Source organism: Homo sapiens, chromosome 4 (assembly GCF_000001405.40).
Source record: "Homo sapiens chromosome 4, GRCh38.p14 Primary Assembly".
NCBI lineage: Eukaryota > Metazoa > Chordata > Mammalia > Primates > Hominidae > Homo > Homo sapiens.
Genome location: NC_000004.12, coordinates 2,989,117 through 3,008,933, shown reverse-complemented (window position 1 = coordinate 3,008,933; position 19,817 = coordinate 2,989,117). Strand labels below are relative to the sequence as shown.

Here is a 19,817-nt window from a genome sequence, read left to right as displayed (position 1 = left end):
GAACCTCAAAGATGTTTATACCCAGCGCCTCAAAAACAGCATGTATAAGCAAGAACTGGAAATTTAATCAATCAATAATAATAGTACTAATAATAACACTAGTAGCAGCTAACACTTTTTTTTTTTTTTTTGAGACAGAGTCTTGCTGTGTTGCCCAGGCTGGAGTGCAGTGGAGCCACCTCAGCTCACTGCAACCTCCACCTCCTGGGTTCAGGCGATTTCTCCTGCCTCAGCCTCCCAAGTAGCTGGGAGTACAGGTGCATGCCACCGTGCCTGGCTAAGTTTTGTAGTTCTAGTAGAGACGGGTTTCACCATTTTGGCCAGGCTGGTCTTGAACTGCTGACCTCAGGTGATCCACCCGCCTCGGCCTCCCAAAGTGCTGGATTACCGGCATGAGCCACTGCGCCCGGCCCACAGCTAACACTTTTTAAGCACTTATTTTGTGCACCAAACATTGTGCTATAAGCGTTGTACACACATTTCCCAGGTGATCCTAGCAATGGTCCAAGGAGGCAGATTCTATAATTACCTGTAATTTATAGAACAAGGACCTGCCACTCATACAAGCTAAGCCACTTACCTGAGGCCACATAAACAGTAAGAGGCTGAGCAGGGTTTAACTGCCAGGTCCCACCCATTGCATCCTATTCTAGCACTAAAAATCTAAGCTAAGTTTTATTTTCTAGCCACTGAACCAACAGGGATACCTGCCATTTTAAAAAGAGAGAACAGAGTCTATTAAATTAGAAGAAATGGTATAACACTAATACCTATGAAAATTTCTGTATAAAAATATCATATACAACTCAAAATTTCTAATTGTATTTTGACAGATGGAAAAGTCTACGTCAATCAGTATGCATTGTGAGAAGTTAACACTTCTTTTATTGAGGTCTCTTTTCTTTTTTTCTGTTGTATTAGAGATGGGGTCTTGCTACATTGCCCAGGTTGGAGTGCAGTGGCTATTCACAGGCTTGATCATCCCGTACTATAGCCTTGAAGTCTTGGGCTTAAGCAATCCTTCAGCCTCAGCCTCCTGAGTAGCTGGGACTACAGGCATGTGCCACCTCAATTGGCTTTTATCAAGTTTAAAATCAGTACATACCTTTCCAGCCATTTCCATTGTAAAAACTGAGAAAAATATGAGCTTTCTTGGTATTCTTCAAATGGTTCCCCTCTTAGGTAGTTATGGGCAACTCTAGAAAAAGATTTTTTAAAATTATATACATTTGTTGTATTAAGAAATAAAAACAAGTGTGTTTTAGTGCATTAATAGGCACTGAATATGGGAAAGCCAATCATTACACACAATTCAATATTTTGAATTTGCAATTACAGAAGTCCACGTTAGGTTCTAACGCTATAAGTGAAAACAGAAGTGAAATAGAATGAATGAAAAAAGCAGTGAAATAGAAGGATGCATTCCCTTCTTGGGAGTGAGGGTGTCAGCTGTTCTGTTATCAAGCAGCATGCTTCCCATGTGCAAGACACAGTGGAAGGGTCCTCTGGAGGACAGCATAGAGGTCAAAGCCATGGGCCACTGCAAGTCCGGCTTCAGCCACTCACTGGCTGAGGGACCTGAGCCAACTTACCCAACCTCTATAGCCTCAGTTTCTCCTTCTGTAAAACAGAGATAATAATCATGCCTATTTCATACAGTTACTGTGAGCGGGTAAGTGCATTAATACTTCCAAGTATTTATTATTGTTTTGTTATTTGTTGTTGTTGTTTAGAGACAGGGCCTCACTCTATTGCCCAGGCTGGAGTGCAATGGCACAATCATGGCTCAATGCAGCCTTGAACTCCTGGCCTCAAGCAATCCTCCCATCTCAGCCTCCCAAAGCACTGGGACTACAGGTGTAAGCCACCAAGCCTAGCCTTATAATTGTTGTGTTATTACTATTACATGTCACTTAGTGCACATGTACAAGAAAGAGTTTAGGGTGTGTACATGCCCAGGAGAGGGATGTGAAGGACAAAAGCGTGGACTGAAAGATTGGCCCTTCCTGGCCTCTGTGGCATCCCAGATGAAGACAGGAAGAAATCTGATTCTTATCACAATATCCCAGGACCAGTATCAGAGAGCAAAGACCAAGCCTGTCCTGTCTGCCATACCAGAGAAGCAATCAAATGGAGCCATGGAGCCAACATCTCTTTTCTTTTTTTTTGGTCTGGCTCTGTCACCCAGGCTGGAGGGTAGTGGTGAGGTCACAGTCACTGCAGCCTTGACCTCCCAGGCTCAATTGATCCTCCCACCTCAGCCTTCTGAATAGCTGGGACTACAGGCATGTACCACTATGCCTGGCTAATTTTTGTATTACAGACAGGGTTTCACCATGTTGTCCAGGCTGGTCTCGAACTCCTGAGGTCACGCAATCCTTCTGCCTTGGCCTCCCAAAGTGCTAGGATTATAGGCATGAGCCATGGCACCCAGCCAGAGACATCTTTTTGGAAAGCAGTTCAAATCACAAACACTAGAATACCATTAATGTGAATATCCAACAAGAATAAGTAAGATGACTTGAAATTGAAAATCTCTTTTTTTTTTTTTTTGAGGCGGAGTTTTGCTCTTGTTGACCAGGCTGGAGTGCAATGGCGTGATCTTGGCTCACCACAACCTCCACCTCCTGGGTTCAGGCGATTCTCCCGCCTCAGCCTTCCTGAGTAGCTGGGATTACAGGCATGTGCCACCATGCCTGGCTAATTTTGTATGTTTAGTAGAGACAGGGTTTCTCCATGTTGGTCAGGTTGGTCTCGAACTCCTGACCTCAGGTGATCCACCCACGTCGGCCTCCCAAAGTGTTGGGATTACAGGCGTGAGCCACCATGCCTGGCCTGAAAATCTTTAGTCTACATTTACTCTAATCCATTTACTCTAATCCATTTTCAGAGGAGGGGGCTGAGGGACAGAGGGAAGGGTTCTAGTCCGGTGCCATACACCTGGTTAGGAGAAAGATGGGATGCATGCCATTTATCTGTGGGGTGTGGAACTGGCCGCTGAATTCTCACTAAAGGAATAAGCATCTAAACCACCCAGCTCCTCAGTGTGCAGAGAAGCCACACCTCAAGAGAAAGCCAGATAGAGAGAGAAAGCCTTGTTTTTTATTTTTATTTATTTATTTATTTATGAGACAGAGTCTCGCTGTGTTGCCCAGGCTGGAGTACAGTGGAGTACAGGGGAGGCTCATTGCAGCCTCCACCTCCCAGGTTCAAGTGATTCTCATGCCTCAGCCTCCTGAGTAGCTGGGATTACAGGCGCACACCCCCAGGCCTGGCTAATTTTTGCATTTTTTTGGAGAGATGGGGTTTCTCTATGTGGGCCAGGCTGGTCTTGAACTCCTGGCCTCAAGCGATCTGCCCGCCTCGGCCTCCCAAAGTGCTGGGATTACCGGCGTGAGCCACCGCGCCCGGCCTGTGTGTTATTTTAGAGGCAGCCGCATCATTAAAGCATCAGGGTCCAGCCCCAGCCCCACTATGCTCGGACTGCACTGGCTCAGGTGCGCCACTCCCTGCCACATGTGAGCTGCAACGGCCTCGCCGGCTCATCTCCTGGACCCCATCTTCCCTCTCTTTAACCTCTAAGTTGCACCCAGAGCGATCTTTTTAAACACAATGCATATGTCATCTGCTTGCTCTCAGAGCAAAGAATAAACTTTCTCATGGCTCCCTGGGCCTCCGTTTCCTCCGCTGTGACATGAGTGACTGTCTGCATGCATACACAAGGCACTGCAGATTTTGGGCCTGATCACCTCAGAAACTGTTCTTTCATCCCGCATATGTAAAGAAACTGAATTTAGCCAAAGTGCTTTACCTCGGAATTCTCCTTGGAAATGCCCTGAAAAAAGATGTTTTTGGTGAGTACCTAGGTCTGAAAAAAATCTTTTTGTCCTAGACACAAGCAGAGCAGAGAGGGCCTGGAGTCACCACAGGGATGCTAGGATACTGGTGCTAAACGATGGGACCCCCTTCAGTGTGCCTCGTGTGTACATGGAATTATTACTCTTCATTCACCTCTTTCTAGAGGAAGTAATCATTTTAATGTGTAAAGTACAGTTGACCCTTGAACAATGCGGGTTGAGACGCCAGGAGCCACTTATGTATGTATTTTCTTCCGCCTCTGCCACCCCTGAGACAGCAAGACCAGCTCCTCCTCTTCCTCCTTCTCCTCAGCCTCCTCAACGTGCAGATGACGAGGATGAAGACCTTTATGATGATCCATTTCCACTTTATGAATAGGAATTATATTTTCTCTTCCTTATGATTTTCTTAGTAACACTTTATTTTTTCTAGCATACTTTATTGTAAGAGTATAGCATATAATACATATACAAAATATGTGTTCATCTGCTGTTTATGTTATCAGTAAGGCTTCTGGTCAACAGTAGGCTAATGGTAGTTAAGCTTTTGGGGGAGTCAAAAGTTACACACAGATTTTCAACTGCGCAGAAGGTTGGGTGGTGTCAGCGTCCCTAATGCCCATGTTGTTCAAGGGTCAACTACACTCTAGGAACTTGTCTTATGCAGAGAAACCTCCTGAAAGCTGTCTGTTTTGGGGTTAGTCATAGATAATATATGCAGGGCTCAGCATGAACCACTTACCTAGTACATTCCTCAAAGGCTTTTTTGGAAGGGTTCTCCTCCTTCAGTCCCAATCTACATTCTGTCACAACATCTGGAGGTATTTCTGGTAAAGGGGCTGCCAACTTAATACAGTACAAACCAAATACATAACCATTAGTGATTTCATAACTTACTAGTGAACAGAACCTAATGCTTATTGTAAAAAAATGAAACACAAAGTGTATAAAATGAAAGTCAAAGTGCCACCTGGACCCTCCACCCCGTCCCACTCTCCAGAGTTCTGCTGTTGTCTGCCTTTTCAGATCTTCTCCGATGCATATCAAAACACACACAGGGCCAGATGCAACGGCACACGCCTGTAATCCCAGCACTTTGGGAGGCCGAGGTGGGTGGATCACCTGAAGTCAGGAGTTTGAGACCAGCCAACATGGTGAAACTCCGTCTCTACTAAAAATACAAAACTATTAGCCAGGCGTGGTAGGTAGCTACTTGGGAGGCTGAGGCAGGAGAATCACTTGAACCTGGGAGGCGGAGGTTGCAGTGAGCTGAGATCACGCCACTGCACTCCAGCCTGGGCAACAAGAGTGAAACTCCGTCTCCAAACCAAACCAAACCAAACAAAAAAACACACACACAGAATGGAAAGCAGGGTCTCAAACAGGTATCTGCACACCCATGTTCATTGCAGCATAATTCACCATAGCAAAAAACAACCCAGGTGTCTGTGGATGAATGGATAAATAAAATGCAGTATATATACACAGTGGAATATTATTCAGCCTTTTAAAAAAAGGAAATTCTGAAATACGCTACAACTTGGATAAACCTTTTGGACATTATGTTAAATGAAATAAGCCAGTCACGGCCGGCATGGTGACTCACCCCTGTAATCCCAGCACTTTGGGAGGCAGAGTTATGTGGATCAGTTGAGGTCAGGAGTTCAAGACCAGCCTGGCCAACATGGTGAAACCCTGTCTTTACTAAAAAATACAAAAATTAGCCAGGCGTGGTGGCAGGCACCTGTAATCCTAGCTACTCAGGAGGCTGAGGCACGAGAATTGCTTGAAGCTGAGAGGCGGAGGTTGCAGTGAGCTGAGATTGTGCCACTGCCCTCCAGCCTGGACGACAGAGCGAAACTCCATCTCAAAAATAAATAAAGAAGCCAGTCACAAAGTGACAAATCCTGTATGATTCCACTTATATATGGTCCCTAGAGTAGTCAAATTCATAGAGACATAAAGTAGAATGGTGGTTGCCAGGCGCTTGGAGAGAACTGGGAATTGTTGAATGGACGCAGAATTTCAGTTCTGTGAGATGAAAAGGTCGGTTCTGGAGATGGGCTGCAGAACAGGGTGAATATATTTAACACTACTGAAGTGCACACTTACAAATGCTGACGTTGGTAACCTTCATGTTACGTGTTTTTTTATCACAATTAAAATTAAAAATCAAACACACACACCTCTTCAGATAGTTTCTTTTTCCTCATGCAAATGGGAAAAATATATGTTCAGTTTTGTGGTTTTTTTGGAGACAGAAAATCTCGGCTCATTGCAGCCTCCACCTCCTGGGCTCATGCAATCCTCCTACCTCCACCTCCCAAGTAGCAGGGACTATGGGCGCATGCCACCACACCTGGCTAGTTTTTTTGAGATGGAGTCTTGTTCTGTGGTCCAGGCTGGAGTGCAGTGCATGATCTTGGGTCACTGCAAGTCCCGCCGCCCAGGTTCAAGCGATTCTCCTGCCTCAGCCGCCCAAGCAGCTGGGATTACAGGTGCCCGCCACCACGCCTGGCTAATTTCGAACTCCTGACCTCAAGAGATCCTTTGGAAGTCTTCAGCCTTCCAAAATGCTGGGATTCCAGGTGTTAGCCACTGTGCCCAGCTGCACCTAGCTGATCTTTGTATTGTTTGTAGAGACAGTGTTTCACCACGTTGCCCAGGCTGGTCTTGAACTCCTGAGCTCAACTGATCTGCCCACCTTGGCCTACAAAAGTGCTAGGATTACAGGCATGTGCCACTGTGCCCAGCCTGGGTCCAGTGTTTAAAGTATGTGCTGACGTCTATAGAGCTACCCCACTTTCTTGAGTGACTGCACGGTCTCCCGGTGTATGAGTTTATCTGCCCCCAGTTACATCCTAGTTGCCAGTTTTCCCACGCAAACAGCACCACCGTGAACGTCTCTATACATGTGTATTTCTATAGGATAGATTCCTAAACACAGAGTTACCAGCTCAAAAAGATGCAAGCATTTTAAACTTCATATTTATTGTGAAACTGCCCTCCAAAGAGGCTCTGCCACTCTGTATTCCCACTCACAGTGTTCCAGGTGCCCAGGCCCTGCTCTCCTTAACCCTCATCCAGAGAATTCTGGAAAAAGGAAACACATGACAAAACCACTGTCCAGATTCAATGAAAAAATACCCAAGTCATGCTCAATTGTCCACCTAATTTGTAATTAGAAACAAGAAATGCATTCCAGACTGATTTCTGACTGTGATAGGGCCAAGCGACCAGAGGAAATCTGTGTTTATAAATCAGTTATTTCCTAACATAAGTTGAAAGATAGTAAACAATAAGAAAACTCACATTTTAAAAAATCAACAATATTATCACAATTAATCATGATTAGTAGCTGCCATTTAAATTATCTAATACATTTGAGGCATTTCAATAACTATGGTCTCGGGCGGGCGTGGTGGCTCACGCCTGTAATCCCACTACTTTGGGAGGCGAAGGAGGGTGGATCACCTGAGGTCAGGAGTTCGAGACCAGCCTGACAAACATGGTGAAACCTGTCTCTACTAAAAATACAAAAATTTAGCTGGGCATGGTGGCAGGCACCTGTAATCTCAGCTACTCAGGAGGCTGAGGCAGGGGAATCACTTGAACCCAGGAGGCAGAGGTTGCAGTGAGCCAAGATCACGCCACTCCACTCCAGCCTGGGCTACAAGAGCGAAACTCCATCTCAAAAAAAAAAAAAATATATATATATATATGTGTGTGTGTGTGTGTGTGTGTGTGTGTATATGTACTCACACACACATATATACATATATATGTATGTGTATACATACATACATACACACATATATATACATATATGTATATATATACACATACACATATATACATATATATACACATACACATATATACATATATATACACATACACATATATACATATATATACACATACACATATATACCTATATATATACACATACACATATATACATATATATACACACACACACACACATATATATATATATATAGTCTCATTTAGCCCTACAACCACCACCCTGATGGATGAGGAGAGACTTGGGAAGTCCCTCTCCAGTGCACCTGCATCACCAAGGGGAGAGCCAAGACTGAAACACACACACCCTGCTGGACTCTCCAGTCCTTTCTTTCTATGCAGCAAGGCTGTCATAAGAATAAGATCGGTCCATTCATTTTCCTATTTAAGAAAAGAAGTTTGGGCCAGGCGCCGTGGCTCACGCCTGTAATCCCAGCACTTTGGGAGGCTGAGGTGGGCAGATCACGAGGTCAAGAGATCGAGACCATCCTGGCCAACATGGTGAAACCCCATCTCTACTAAAAATACAAAAAAAAAATTAGCTGGGCATAATGGCACGTGCCTGTAGTCCCAGCTACTCGGGAGACTGAGGTAGAAGTATCATTTGAACCCAGGAGGCAAAGGTTGCAGTGAGCCGAGATTGTGCCACTGCACTCCAGCCTGGTGACAGAGCAAGACTGTTTCAAAAAAAAAAAGAAAAGAAAAGAAAAGAAAAGAAAAGAAAAAAGAAAGAAAAGAAGTTTGTTCATTCACTCATTTGCTCCACAAATATGCATTGTTCCAGGCACTGGACACAGCAGAAAACAAGACAAAATATTCTCAGAAGACAAAGACAATATTTTAACAGTCATTTCCCCTCCAAAGTCTCAATTTTTCTGAAACTAAATAGCAGGTTGATTCTATCAAGACCGTTTAATGATTAACACCAAATAGTGTTCCCATTTTCTATATCATAGAAAATTTTTATATTAATAGTTATTTATTCTCACACAAAGGAAAAGCAGTGTTTCTAATATCCATGAGAGAGAGGGAGGTAAGCTAAGGTGACCTGAAGTATGGCAAGGTAAGGTACAGAACTACCAGCCTGATGCAGAACTGAGACTTCTGGGGCTTTACATTAAGGATCAATCATTGTTTTTCAGAATAAGTAGTTACCAGGGCAAATTTACCAAATGACTTAGTGCCTTGCTTTTTAAAATTTTAGGCAGAGGAAATTCTAATAGGAAAGACCACTGGTGGAGAGGGAAGGGAGGGTGGATTTTGCAGAAATATGCTTCTTTTTCTGTGTTGAAAATTACATTTACTTTCCTATTTTAAAAAATTGGGTCATCTTTTTATTGTTGCATTGTAAGAGTTATTTATATATTCTGGATACTAGACCCTTACCAGTATTTGATTTACAAATCCTTTTCCCCATTCTGTTGGTTATGTTTTCACTTCTTGATAGTGTTCTTTGAAGCATAAAGTTTTAAATTTTGATGAAGTTCAGTTTATCTATTTTTTCTTTGTTGCTTGTGCTTTAGGTGTCATATCTAAGAAGTCACTGCCTAATTTCAAGGTATTGAAGAGTTACACCTACACTTTCCTCTAAGAGTTGTATAGTTTTAGCTCTTATATTTAGGCCTTTGATGGATTTGGCATTAATGTTTTGTTTATGGAATGAGGTAGGGCTTCCGTGTGATTCTCTGCATGTGGCTATCCAGTTGTTCCAGTACCATCTATTGAAAAGACTATTCTTTCTCCCAGTTGAATTGTCTTGGCATCCTTGTGATAAGGCAATTAATTGACTGTTAATGTGTTATCGTTTGGATGTGTGCCCCAAAGTTCATGTGTTGGTAGCTTAATTCCCAATGCAACAGTGTTGAGAGGTGGGACCTTTAAAAAGGTGATAAGATCATGAGGACTCTGCCCCTCAGGAATGGATTCATGCTGCAATCTCAGGACTGGTTTTGTTATTGTTGCGGCATTGCGGCAGGTTCCTGATAAAAAGCTAAGCTCAGCCCCTTCCACCACTCCCCACCCAGGCGTGTGCATACCCTCGTATTCTTCTGCATGGATGATGCAGCAAGAGGGCTCTCACTAGATTGGACTCCTTGACCTTGGACTTCCGGCTTTCAGAACTGTAAGAAATAAATCTCTGTTCTTTATAAATTACCCAATCTCAGGTATTCTGTTAGAGCAGCACTAAATGGACTAAGACAAAATGCATGAATTTGTTTCTGCACTCTCGATTCCATACCATTGACTGCTGTATGTCTACCATCATGCCAGGACCATACTGTCTTGATTACTGTAGCTTTGTACTAAGTTTTGAAATTGAGGAGTGCGAGTCCTCCAACTACATTCTTTTTAAAGAATGTTATAGTCCACGTCCCTTGACTATCCATATGAGTTCTAAGATTAGCTTGCTTGTTAATTTCTGCAAAAAAAAAAATGGTAGTTAGACTTGTGATAGGGATTATATTGAATCTATAGATCAATTTGGGGAGTACTGCCATCTTAACAATATTAAGTCTTCTGATCCACGAACAGGAGATGTCTTTCCATTTCTTGAGATCTTCTTTAATTTTTTTCAGTGCTTTCTAGTTTTCAGAGTATAAGTGTTACACTTATGTTGTTACGTTCATTCTTAAGTATTTTATTCTTTTTTGATACTATACAAAGGGAATTGCTTTCTTAATTTCTTTTTTTTTGGATTTTAATTGCTAATATATAGGAATACAATTAAATTTTGTATAGTGACTTAGTATCTTGCAGCCTTACCAGACTCACTTATTAGCTCCAACAGTCTTTTTCTTTATGTGTGTATGTGTGAATTTCTTAGAATTTTCTATATCCAAGATTATGTCATTTGCAAATAGAGTTTTACTTCTTCCTTTACAATCTAAATACCTTTTCTTTTCTTTTTTTTTTTAAACAGAGTCTTGCTGTGTTGCCCAGGCTGGAGTGCAATGGCACAACCTTGGCTCACTGCAACCTCCTCCTCCCGGGTTCAAGCAATTCTCCTGCCTCAGCTTCCAAGTAGCTGGGATTACAGGTGCCTACCACCATGCCCAGCTAATTTTTGTATTTTTAGTACAGACGGGGGTTTCACCATGTTGCCCAGGCTGGTCTCAAACTCCTGACCTCAGGTGATCCACGCGCTTTGGCCTCCCAAAGTGCTGGATCACAGGTATGAGCCACTGCGCCTGGTGAATACCTTTTATTTCTTTTTCTTGCCTAATTGCCCTGTCTAGAACCTCCAGTACAATGGAACTTACAGTTGACCCTAGTTGAACAGAAGTGGTGAGGGTGCACAATCTTGTCTTGTTCCTAATCTTAAAGGAAAGCATATAGTCTTTTACTTTTTTTTTTTTTTTTTGGAGATGGAGTCTCACTCTGTCATCCAGGCTGGAGTGCAGTGGTGCAATCTCAGCTCACTGTAACCTCTGCCTCCCAGGTTCAAGTGATTCTCTTGCCTCAGCCTCCTCAGTAGCTGGGACTATAGGCGTGCACCACCATGGCCGGCTAATATTTGTATTTTTAGTAGAGATGGGGTTTCACCATGCTGGCCAGGCTGGCCTCAAACTCCTGACCTCATGATCTGCCCACCTCGGCCTCCCAAAGTGCTGGAATTACAGGTGAACACCACCACACCCGGCCTAGTCTTTCACATTTAAGTATGATGTTGGCTGTGGGTATTTCATAGATATCATTTATCAGGCTGAGCAGCCCATAAACGTCTCTCTCTCTCTATTATCAAGTGCTATCATTTGAACGTTGGTCCCTTCCCCTCAAAGCTCATGTTGACGTTTAATTGTTATTGTGACCATTAAAAGGCATTTAAGAGGTTCCACTTTCATGAAGGGACTAATTTCATTCCTAGTTTGCTCAGTGCTTTTATCACGAAGGGGTGTGGATTTTATCAAATACTTTTTCTATTTTTATTAAGATAATCATGTGGTTTTTAAATATTTTATTCTATTAATATGGTGTATTATAGTAATTGATTTTCAGATACTGAACCAATTTTGTATCCCTAGGGAAAAGCCCACTTGGTTTTGGTTATGATTCTTTTAAACCATAAATTCAAATTTGGCTGAATTTTAATATTTGAGAACCCTGAGAGGAAAACTAAGAAAAACTAACAATGTCTGAGTGACTGGATAAAGAAATGCAAGAATGAACACACGGTCTTGCTTTACTTTCAGGTACTTTGAATATTATGGGTTGTTAAAATTTGAGTAAGTGACCTCAAGGAGTTCTCTTTTTTCAACTCCTGGCATCAAGAGAGCCTCCTGTCTTGGCCTCCCAAAGTGCTGGGATTACAGGCATGAGCCACCGCACCTAGCCTAGGGGTTCCCTTTTTAGCATGTAAAAGAAAGAGAAGTTTATTCTTGCTGTTTTAAAATAAAAGACAAGAAAAGGAAAAACTACAATAATGACGTGAATCATTGCTTTTTATTTGTTTGTTTTTTGTTTCAGTAAAGCACAAGAGCAGGGCCATCAGGTGGGAAGAGGAAGAATGTGGCAGTTTCCCCAGTTGATGGTAAGAAAAGAAAAAAAAAAAAAGCTTTCCAGCTACATCATCTCCAGGCAGCCCATAAACATCTCTCTATTACCAAGTGCTATTATCTAAACATTTGTCTATCCCCCACAAAGCTCATGATGACATTTAATTGCCACTGTGACAGTATTGGGAGGTAGGACCATTAAGAGGCATTTTTTTTTTTCCTGAGGCAGAGTCTCGCTCTGTCACCCAGGCAGGAGTGCAGTGGCGCGAACTCAGCTCACTGCAAACTTTGTCTCCTGGATTCAAGCGATTCTCCTGCCTCACCCTCCTGAGTAGCTGGGATCATAGGCACCTGCCACCATGCCTGGCTAATTTTTGTATTGTTAGTAGAGACGGGGTTTCACCATCTTGGCCAGGATGGTCTCGAACTTCTGACCACAGGTGATCCGTCTGCCTCAGCCTCCCAAAGTGCTGGGATTACAGGCGTGAGCCACCGCGCCCGGCCTAAGAGGCATTTAAGAGGTTCCACCTTCATGAAGGGACTAGTGCCCTTATCTTGTTATCCCTGGAGTAGGTTTGCCCCCTTTTGTGTCCACATGCTCAGACATGTGTGCAAGCAATCCCTCTCTTTCCACTTCCACCAAGTGATGATGCAGCAAGAAGGCCCTTGCCAGATGCTGGCATTAAGAAGGGGGAAAAAAAAAAAAGGTTTTTATCTGAGGAATGTGAGCCCCTTCGAATTATCAGGCCCAGAACAGTCATGACTCACTCCCCCTTGAGCTAAATAATTACTTCTTGAAGCCACTTGCTAGTGGTCCCTAGACTGATGCCAAGTATCCATAAATGCCATATACTGGACACCATAACTTATATTCTCACTCTGTAGTTCAACAATATATAGCCAATGATCAGTGGATCATTGTTCTCTCTTAAACCAGTGAGAATTCGGGTCAAACAACATTGTATCAGCTCACTCCTTGTTCCCTTTGCCTTTAAAACCCTGCCAGTAACCAAGGCCAGTAGAGCACTTCCCAAGGCAACTTGGAAGTGTGTCCCACGCAGCTGTCTTTACTTTAGCTCAAGTAAACTCTTTTTTTTTTTTGAGAAGGAGTCTCACTTTATCACCCAGGTTGGAGTGGCACAATTTTGGTTCACTGCAACCTCCGCCTCCCAGGTTCAGGTGATTCTCCTACCTCAGCCTCCCAAGGAGCTGGGATTATAGGCATGCACCACCACATCCAGTTAATTTTTTTTTTTTTTTTTTTTTTTTTAGTAGAGATGAGGTTTCACCATGTTGGCCAGGCTGGTCTCGAACTCCTAACCTCAGGTGATCTGCCCGCCTCGGCCTCCCAAAGTGCCGGGATTACAGGCGTGAGCCACAGCACCTGGTCCAAGTAAACTCTTTAAATTACATTTTGTGTCTCAGCTTCTTCATTTTAGGTCAACAACACCTTGAACTGGGCATCCTAGCCTCTAAAACTGTGAGCCAAGAAATTTCTTTTTATTATAAATTACCCAGTCTCCATGCACGCATATGTTCATTGCAACACTATTTGCAATAGCAAACACATGGAATCAACCTAAATGCCCATCAATGATAAACCGGATAAAGAAAATGGGGTACATATACACTATGGAATACTATGCAGCCGTAAAAAAGAGAACGATCATGTTCTTTGCAAGAACATGGATGGAGCTGGAGGCCATTATCCTTAGCAAACTAACACAGGAACAGAAAACCAAATACCACATATTCTTACTTAAGAGTGGGAGCTAAATGATGAGGACACATGGACACACAGAGGGAAACACCACACAATGGGGCCTATTGGAGGATGGGGGATGTGGGGAAGGAGCAGATCAAGAAAAATAACTAAAGGGTGCTAAGCTTAATACCTGGGTGATGAAATAATCTGTACAACAAACCCCATGATGCAAGTTTACCTACGTAACAAACCTGCACATGTACCCCCGAACTTAAAATAGAAGTTAAAATAAATAAATACATAAATTACCCAGTCTCTGGCATTCTATTACAGCAGCACAAAACAGACTAAGGCACCAAGCCACACATGTATAACCTCCCCTTCCCTCCTCTTCCACATTTGCTATATCTACCATGATTCATTTTTAAATTTTTTCTTTTGTTTTTCTTTATAATTATTTCTTTCTTCTTGATGCCCTCCCTTGCTATATGGGTATTTCTTCAGAAGAGGTGAAGAAAGAAAAGGGAGCTAATTTAAAAAGAATAATAACTAGATAAATGGAGCCGGGTGTAGTGGTTCACGCCTGTAATCCCCACAATTTGGGAGGCCGAGGCAGGCAGATCACTTGAGGCCAGGAGTTCGAGACTAGCCTGGCCAATATGGCAAAACCCCGTCTGTACTAAAAATATAAAAAGTAGCCAAGTGTGGTGGTGCACACCTGTAATCCAAGCTACCCAGGTGGCTGAGGCATGTGAATCACTTGAACCCGGGAGGCAGAGGCTGCAGTGAGCCAAGATCGTGCCACTGCACTCCAACCTGCACAACAGAGCAAGGTGCTATCTCAAAAAAGGGAAAAAAATAAAAATAAAAATTAGAACTAGATAAATGAAACTTCTACTCATTCTAACTAGTGTCCTGGGGGTACCTACAAATATGCTCATGTTGTAACAGCTGTGTTTGAGAGAGTAATCTGTAAGGCTGGAGGCTGGGGTAGAAAACTCATTAGGGTCTGAATCACACCTCTGACACCCACTGCTATGTATCTTTGTGCTGCTAGATGGTCCTGCTGGCCATCCCCTCTGGCACTCTATTTTTTGTACAACGAAGCTCCCCTAAGATGATGGCCCTATATCCAGTTGGCTATGTTTCAAATCCAAATATTTTGAACTCATTCTCACCACACTATTCACTAATTCCATTCTCCACATGTTCGATTCCTGGTTCTGACACTTACTAGGTGTGTAACCTTGGGTAAGTCACTTAGTCACTGATTTTCAGTCTTATCATATGAAAATAGACTTGAGAATAGTATCTACCTCATAGGTTTGTTGTGATAATTACATAATGTATTACATGTTAGAGCAGTGATTTTTTTGTGTTTTTTTGTTTGTTTTGTTTTGAGACAGAGTCTCGCTTGTTGACCAGGCTAGAGTGCTGTGGCACGATCTCAGCTCACTGCCACCTTTACCTCCCAGGTTCAAGTGATTCTCATGCTTCAGCCTCCCTATTAGCTGGGATTACAGGCATGCACCACCACGCCTGGCTAATTTTTGTATTTTTAGTAGAGACAGGGTTTCACCATATTGGCCAGGCCTGTGTCGAATTCTTGACCTCAAGTGATCTACCCGCCTCAGCCTCCCAAAGTGCTGGGGTTACAGGCGTGAGCCACCACACCTGGCCTAGAGCAGTGTTAATTACATGTTTGCTATCCCTGTTGTTCCTTTTCTCCTTCCATCCTTACAATATAGGGCCCTGCCCAGAATTGAGGACTTCTAACAGAAGTCACATGAAAGGAAGCAGGTTACAGCTCTAATTTCAGTGACATACTGAACTACAAGAACCAAGTAAGTCAAAAGCATAAAAGCTAAGACCCATTAAAGCTTTTAGGAAAAAATGTTATTTTTAGTCCAAGAGAGACAAATAAAATTCTCCAACTCTATATTCTGAAACTTTAAATACACTGAATCAATTTTCTAAGAGATCTAATTGTTAGTTTCCTCATGACATCAAACAAAATGCAAAAGAGGAACATTTATAATAAATTCAAGCTTTTTAAAGATTAATTAATTGATGTTGGGAGGTAGTTTTGAGACAGGGTCTTACTCTCTTGTCCAGGCTAGAGCATAGCAGTATGATCCCAGCTCACTGCAGCCTTGACCTCCTGGGCTCAAGCAGTCCTCCCACCTGAGCCTCCCAAGTAGCTGAGAACACAGGTGCACGCCACCATGCTTAGCTAATTTTTTTTTTCTTTTTTGTAGCAATGCGGTTTTGCCATATTGCCCAGGTTGGTTTTGAACTCCTGAGCTCAAGCGATCTGCCTGCCTCGGCCTCCCAAAGTGCTGAGATTACAGGCATGAAACACTGTGCCTGGCCTTACTTTTTATTTTTTTAAGACAGGGTCTTGCTCTGTCACCCAGGCTAGAATGCAGTGGCATGACCTTGGCTCACAGCCACCTCAATCTCCTGGGCTCAAGCGATCCTCCCACCTCACCTCCCAAGTAGCTGGGACTACAGATGCACACCACCATGTCCAGCTAGTTTTTTTGTTTATTTTTTTGTAGAGATGGTCTCACTATGTTGGCCATGCTGATCTCGAACTCCTGGGCTAAAGAGATCCTCCTTCCTCAGCCTCCCGAAGTGCTGGGATTACAGGCGTCAGGCATCACACCCAGCCAAATTAAAGCTTTTAACATATGTTACGTCTTATCTAACAAAGTAAAAATGGCTATGCACTCTAATTATTTATCTACAAATTTTTATTCTAAAGAAGAAAACACACCTTATCATTGAAGAATCTATCTAAGATTGACAGTCCACAATCACTTCGGTCCTCATCATCGGCAACTTCATATTCTGCCTGATTGGAGAGATGGAAGAAAAGAAAGAACAGTTAAGCTGGGTGTGGTGGTGCATACCTGTAGTTCCAGCCACTTGGGACGCTGAGGTTGGGAGGATCACTTGAGCTCAAGAGTTCGAGGCCAGCCTGAGCAACATAGCGAGATCCCATCTCTTAAAAAAAAAAAAAAAAGTTAAGCTTCTTCACCAACAATGTTTCATTATGTTTCAAATTATTTGGTTTGATATCCTCAGAGTCACAGACCAACTCTACTGATCAAGAGTCTACAGCTCTTCTTTGGGAAAGTAAGGTGTATGAGGCGGAAGAAGTCAGTTTTTTAAAGGAGGTTAATGAAGTTTTAGAGCAATACTTCCCATAATACTCTGTATGCCATATTACATTGTATCCATTAAAGATATCTCAGGGCCGGGAGCAGTGGCTCATGCCTGTAACCACAGCACTTTGGGAGGCCGAGGCAGGCAGATCATCTGAGGCTGGGAGTTGGAGACCAGCCTGGCCAACATAGTGAAAACCCGTCTGTACTAAAATTACAAAAATTAGCTGGGTGTGGTGGCGCATACCTGTAATCCTAGCTACTCAAGAGGCTGAGGCAGGAAGAATTGCCTGGACCCAGGAGGCGGAGGTTGCAGTGAGCCGAGATCATGCTACTACACTCCAGCCTGGGCAACAGAGCAAGACTCAGCCTCAAAAACAAACAAACAAACTTCAGTGCTGGGAGTTCTGGATACTGTGTGGCATGCAATTAATGGAAGAGAAAGCAAGTCTGATCCTGCAATGGTCCTTCGATATGCCAACTGGGCAGGCTATGAGCCCCAGTTAGTCACTCAAACATAAATCCAGGTGCTGCTGGGAAGGTACTTGTACATACGATTAAAGTTTATAATCAGTTGACTTCAAGTGAAGGAGATTATGCTAGATAATCTAGGTGGCTCTGACCTAATCAGTTGGAAGGTGTTAAGAACAGAGATGAGTCTTCCTGGAGGAAGAAATTCTGCCTGAGGACGGCAGCTTCAGCCCATTACTGGAGAGTCCTACCATGCCCCTTCTGACGGTCCGCCCTACAGATTTCAGACTTTCCTAACCAGACCCCACAATTATGTAAGCCAATTCCTTGCAATAAATCTCTTAATATCTCCTCCTATGGGTTCTAGTTCTCTGGTTGAATCCTGACTGATACAGATGCCACTAATTCATTTAATGAGCAAGAAATAGGGCAAACAACCATGCCATGTGCCATGAGGGGGAAATGAATAAGACACAGTCCCTTCACTTGAGAAGCTCACAGAGCCTGTCATCACCTATCACGAGGATAGTCAAAGCAGTAAGTGTGACAAAATGGCACAATCAGACATTATTTCTGAACCTACACAACTGCCATCAAAAAAACAAAAACATAACCTGTAACTGCAGTCACATAGCTGTCACCTCATAACGACAGGTATCATGACAATATCAGAAGACTGAAACCTAAAACAGAGTTTCAACAATGCAGTTTAGCTATTTTAACGTAAGGAAGAACAGTAGGTCCCTAAATTCTTAAAATACAGCAGCTTGGCAAACATTACCCACTACATGAGAACTTACACCCAGGGTTCCATCCCCCAAACTGAGTAAGCATGCCCCAGCATACTGGAACTCTGTCTTCAAAAAGAAGAACTGGCCAGGCGCAGTGGCTGATGCCTGTAATCCTAGCACTTTGGGAGGCCGAGACGGGCAGATCACCTGAGGTCAGGAGTCTGAGACCAGCCTAGCCAACATGGGGAAACCCCGTCTCTACTAAAAATACAAAAATTAGTTGGGTGTGGTGGCACATGCCTGTAGTCCCAGCTACTCAGGAGGCTGAGGCAGGAGAATCACTTGAACCTGGGAGGCGGAGGTTGCAGTGAGCTGGGATCACGCCATAGCACTCCAGCCTGGAGGACAAGAGCAAAACTCTGTCTCAAAAAAAAAAAAAAAAAAAAAAAAAAAGAAGAAGAAGAAGAAGAATCACCTTATTCTAGCAACAGTGCCAGAAAGGAAAGGACTGGGAGAGATCTGAGGGAAGGAAGCAAACAACAAAACAGCCGCAAATGTTTTTCTGAAAAGAATATATCATAAATAAATATATATACATTTTAAAGTTTTAAAAAGCTGTGTTAGAGGAAAATCAAATCCAAACTCAATGATATAAGACATATATGTCCACATATAATAAGCACTCAATACATATTTGCCGATACAATTAAGACAGGCCAAAGCAGAGAGAGGAAGGATCATAACCCTGGTACAAAAGTGAGAGAGATTTTCTGCTAAATTCCACCAATTTTCTATTGGTCACTTGCTTCTGAATTTCATAGCTTTGAAAGTCTAGGCTTCCCAATGGTACCCACAAAGACTGAGAAACATAAAGTTTCTTTACCTATAAGGAAATCACAGTAAATCTCAAACAGGATACATGAGAATGTTGGAAACTTTCTTGAGCATAGTAAATTCCATCCAAAGTGATCATTCTTCTTACACAAACTTTATCCCTTCCATATGCTTCTGGGTTAAAGCGTTTTTAAGTTAAGAGCATTGGCCAGTTGAGTGCAGAAAGGACACTTTTCTGGTAGCCGAACAAGCACTATCATCTTAGAGCCGGGCACAGTGGCTTATGCCTGTAATCCCAGCACTTTGGGGGGCCAAGGCAGGTGGATCACAAGGCTGAGGCAGAAGAATTGCTTGAACCCAGGAGGCGGAGGTTGCAGTAAGCCAAGATCATGCCACTGCAGTCCAGCCTGGGAGACAGAGAGAGACTCCATTTCAAAAAAATAAAAAATAAAAAAAGCATTATCATCTTAATTAGTTTGTCATCTTCATACAATTCAAGCCTCAAGTTTCAAAGTCATTCAATGACTACATGTGATTCTCCAACACTTGAGACGTAATTCTACACAAAATACCACTTCAGACTAAAGGGATTTCTGTCCTAATAAGATAATATGACACCAAGACAACCAGTCCCTCCACTCCTACATCATTGCCCAGGTCTAGTTTTTACATTTTCTTTTTTTTTGAGACGGAGTCTTGCTCTGTCGCCCAGGCTGGAAGGCAGTGGTGCGATCTCGGCTCACTGCAAC

The 19,817-nt window shown here is 42.9% G+C and overlaps 1 protein-coding gene across 29 annotated transcripts in view; it reads right to left on the bottom strand.

The window, feature by feature from the left end:
• The window catches only part of GRK4 (G protein-coupled receptor kinase 4), a 77,190-nt gene that overhangs the window by 31,827 nt on the left and 25,546 nt on the right, over nucleotides 1-19,817 (bottom strand). For 26 of the 29 annotated variants that reach the window (XR_924941.3, XR_001741210.2, XM_011513447.3 and 23 more), the window contains 3 exons: nucleotides 16,642-16,719; nucleotides 4,600-4,703; nucleotides 1,106-1,198 (listed from right to left, as the gene is read on the bottom strand). Coding sequence is in view for 24 of the 29 variants with exons in the window: in XM_011513447.3 (XP_011511749.1) it covers nucleotides 1,106-1,198; nucleotides 4,600-4,703; nucleotides 16,642-16,719 (275 nt within the window). In the remaining 5 variants the exon portion in view is untranslated. Of the gene's footprint in view, nucleotides 1-1,105; nucleotides 1,199-1,592; nucleotides 1,621-4,599; nucleotides 4,704-16,641; nucleotides 16,720-19,817 lie in introns of those variants that run through there. The other 3 variants (XM_017008052.2, XM_047450124.1, NM_001350173.2) reach the window with 2 other exon arrangements.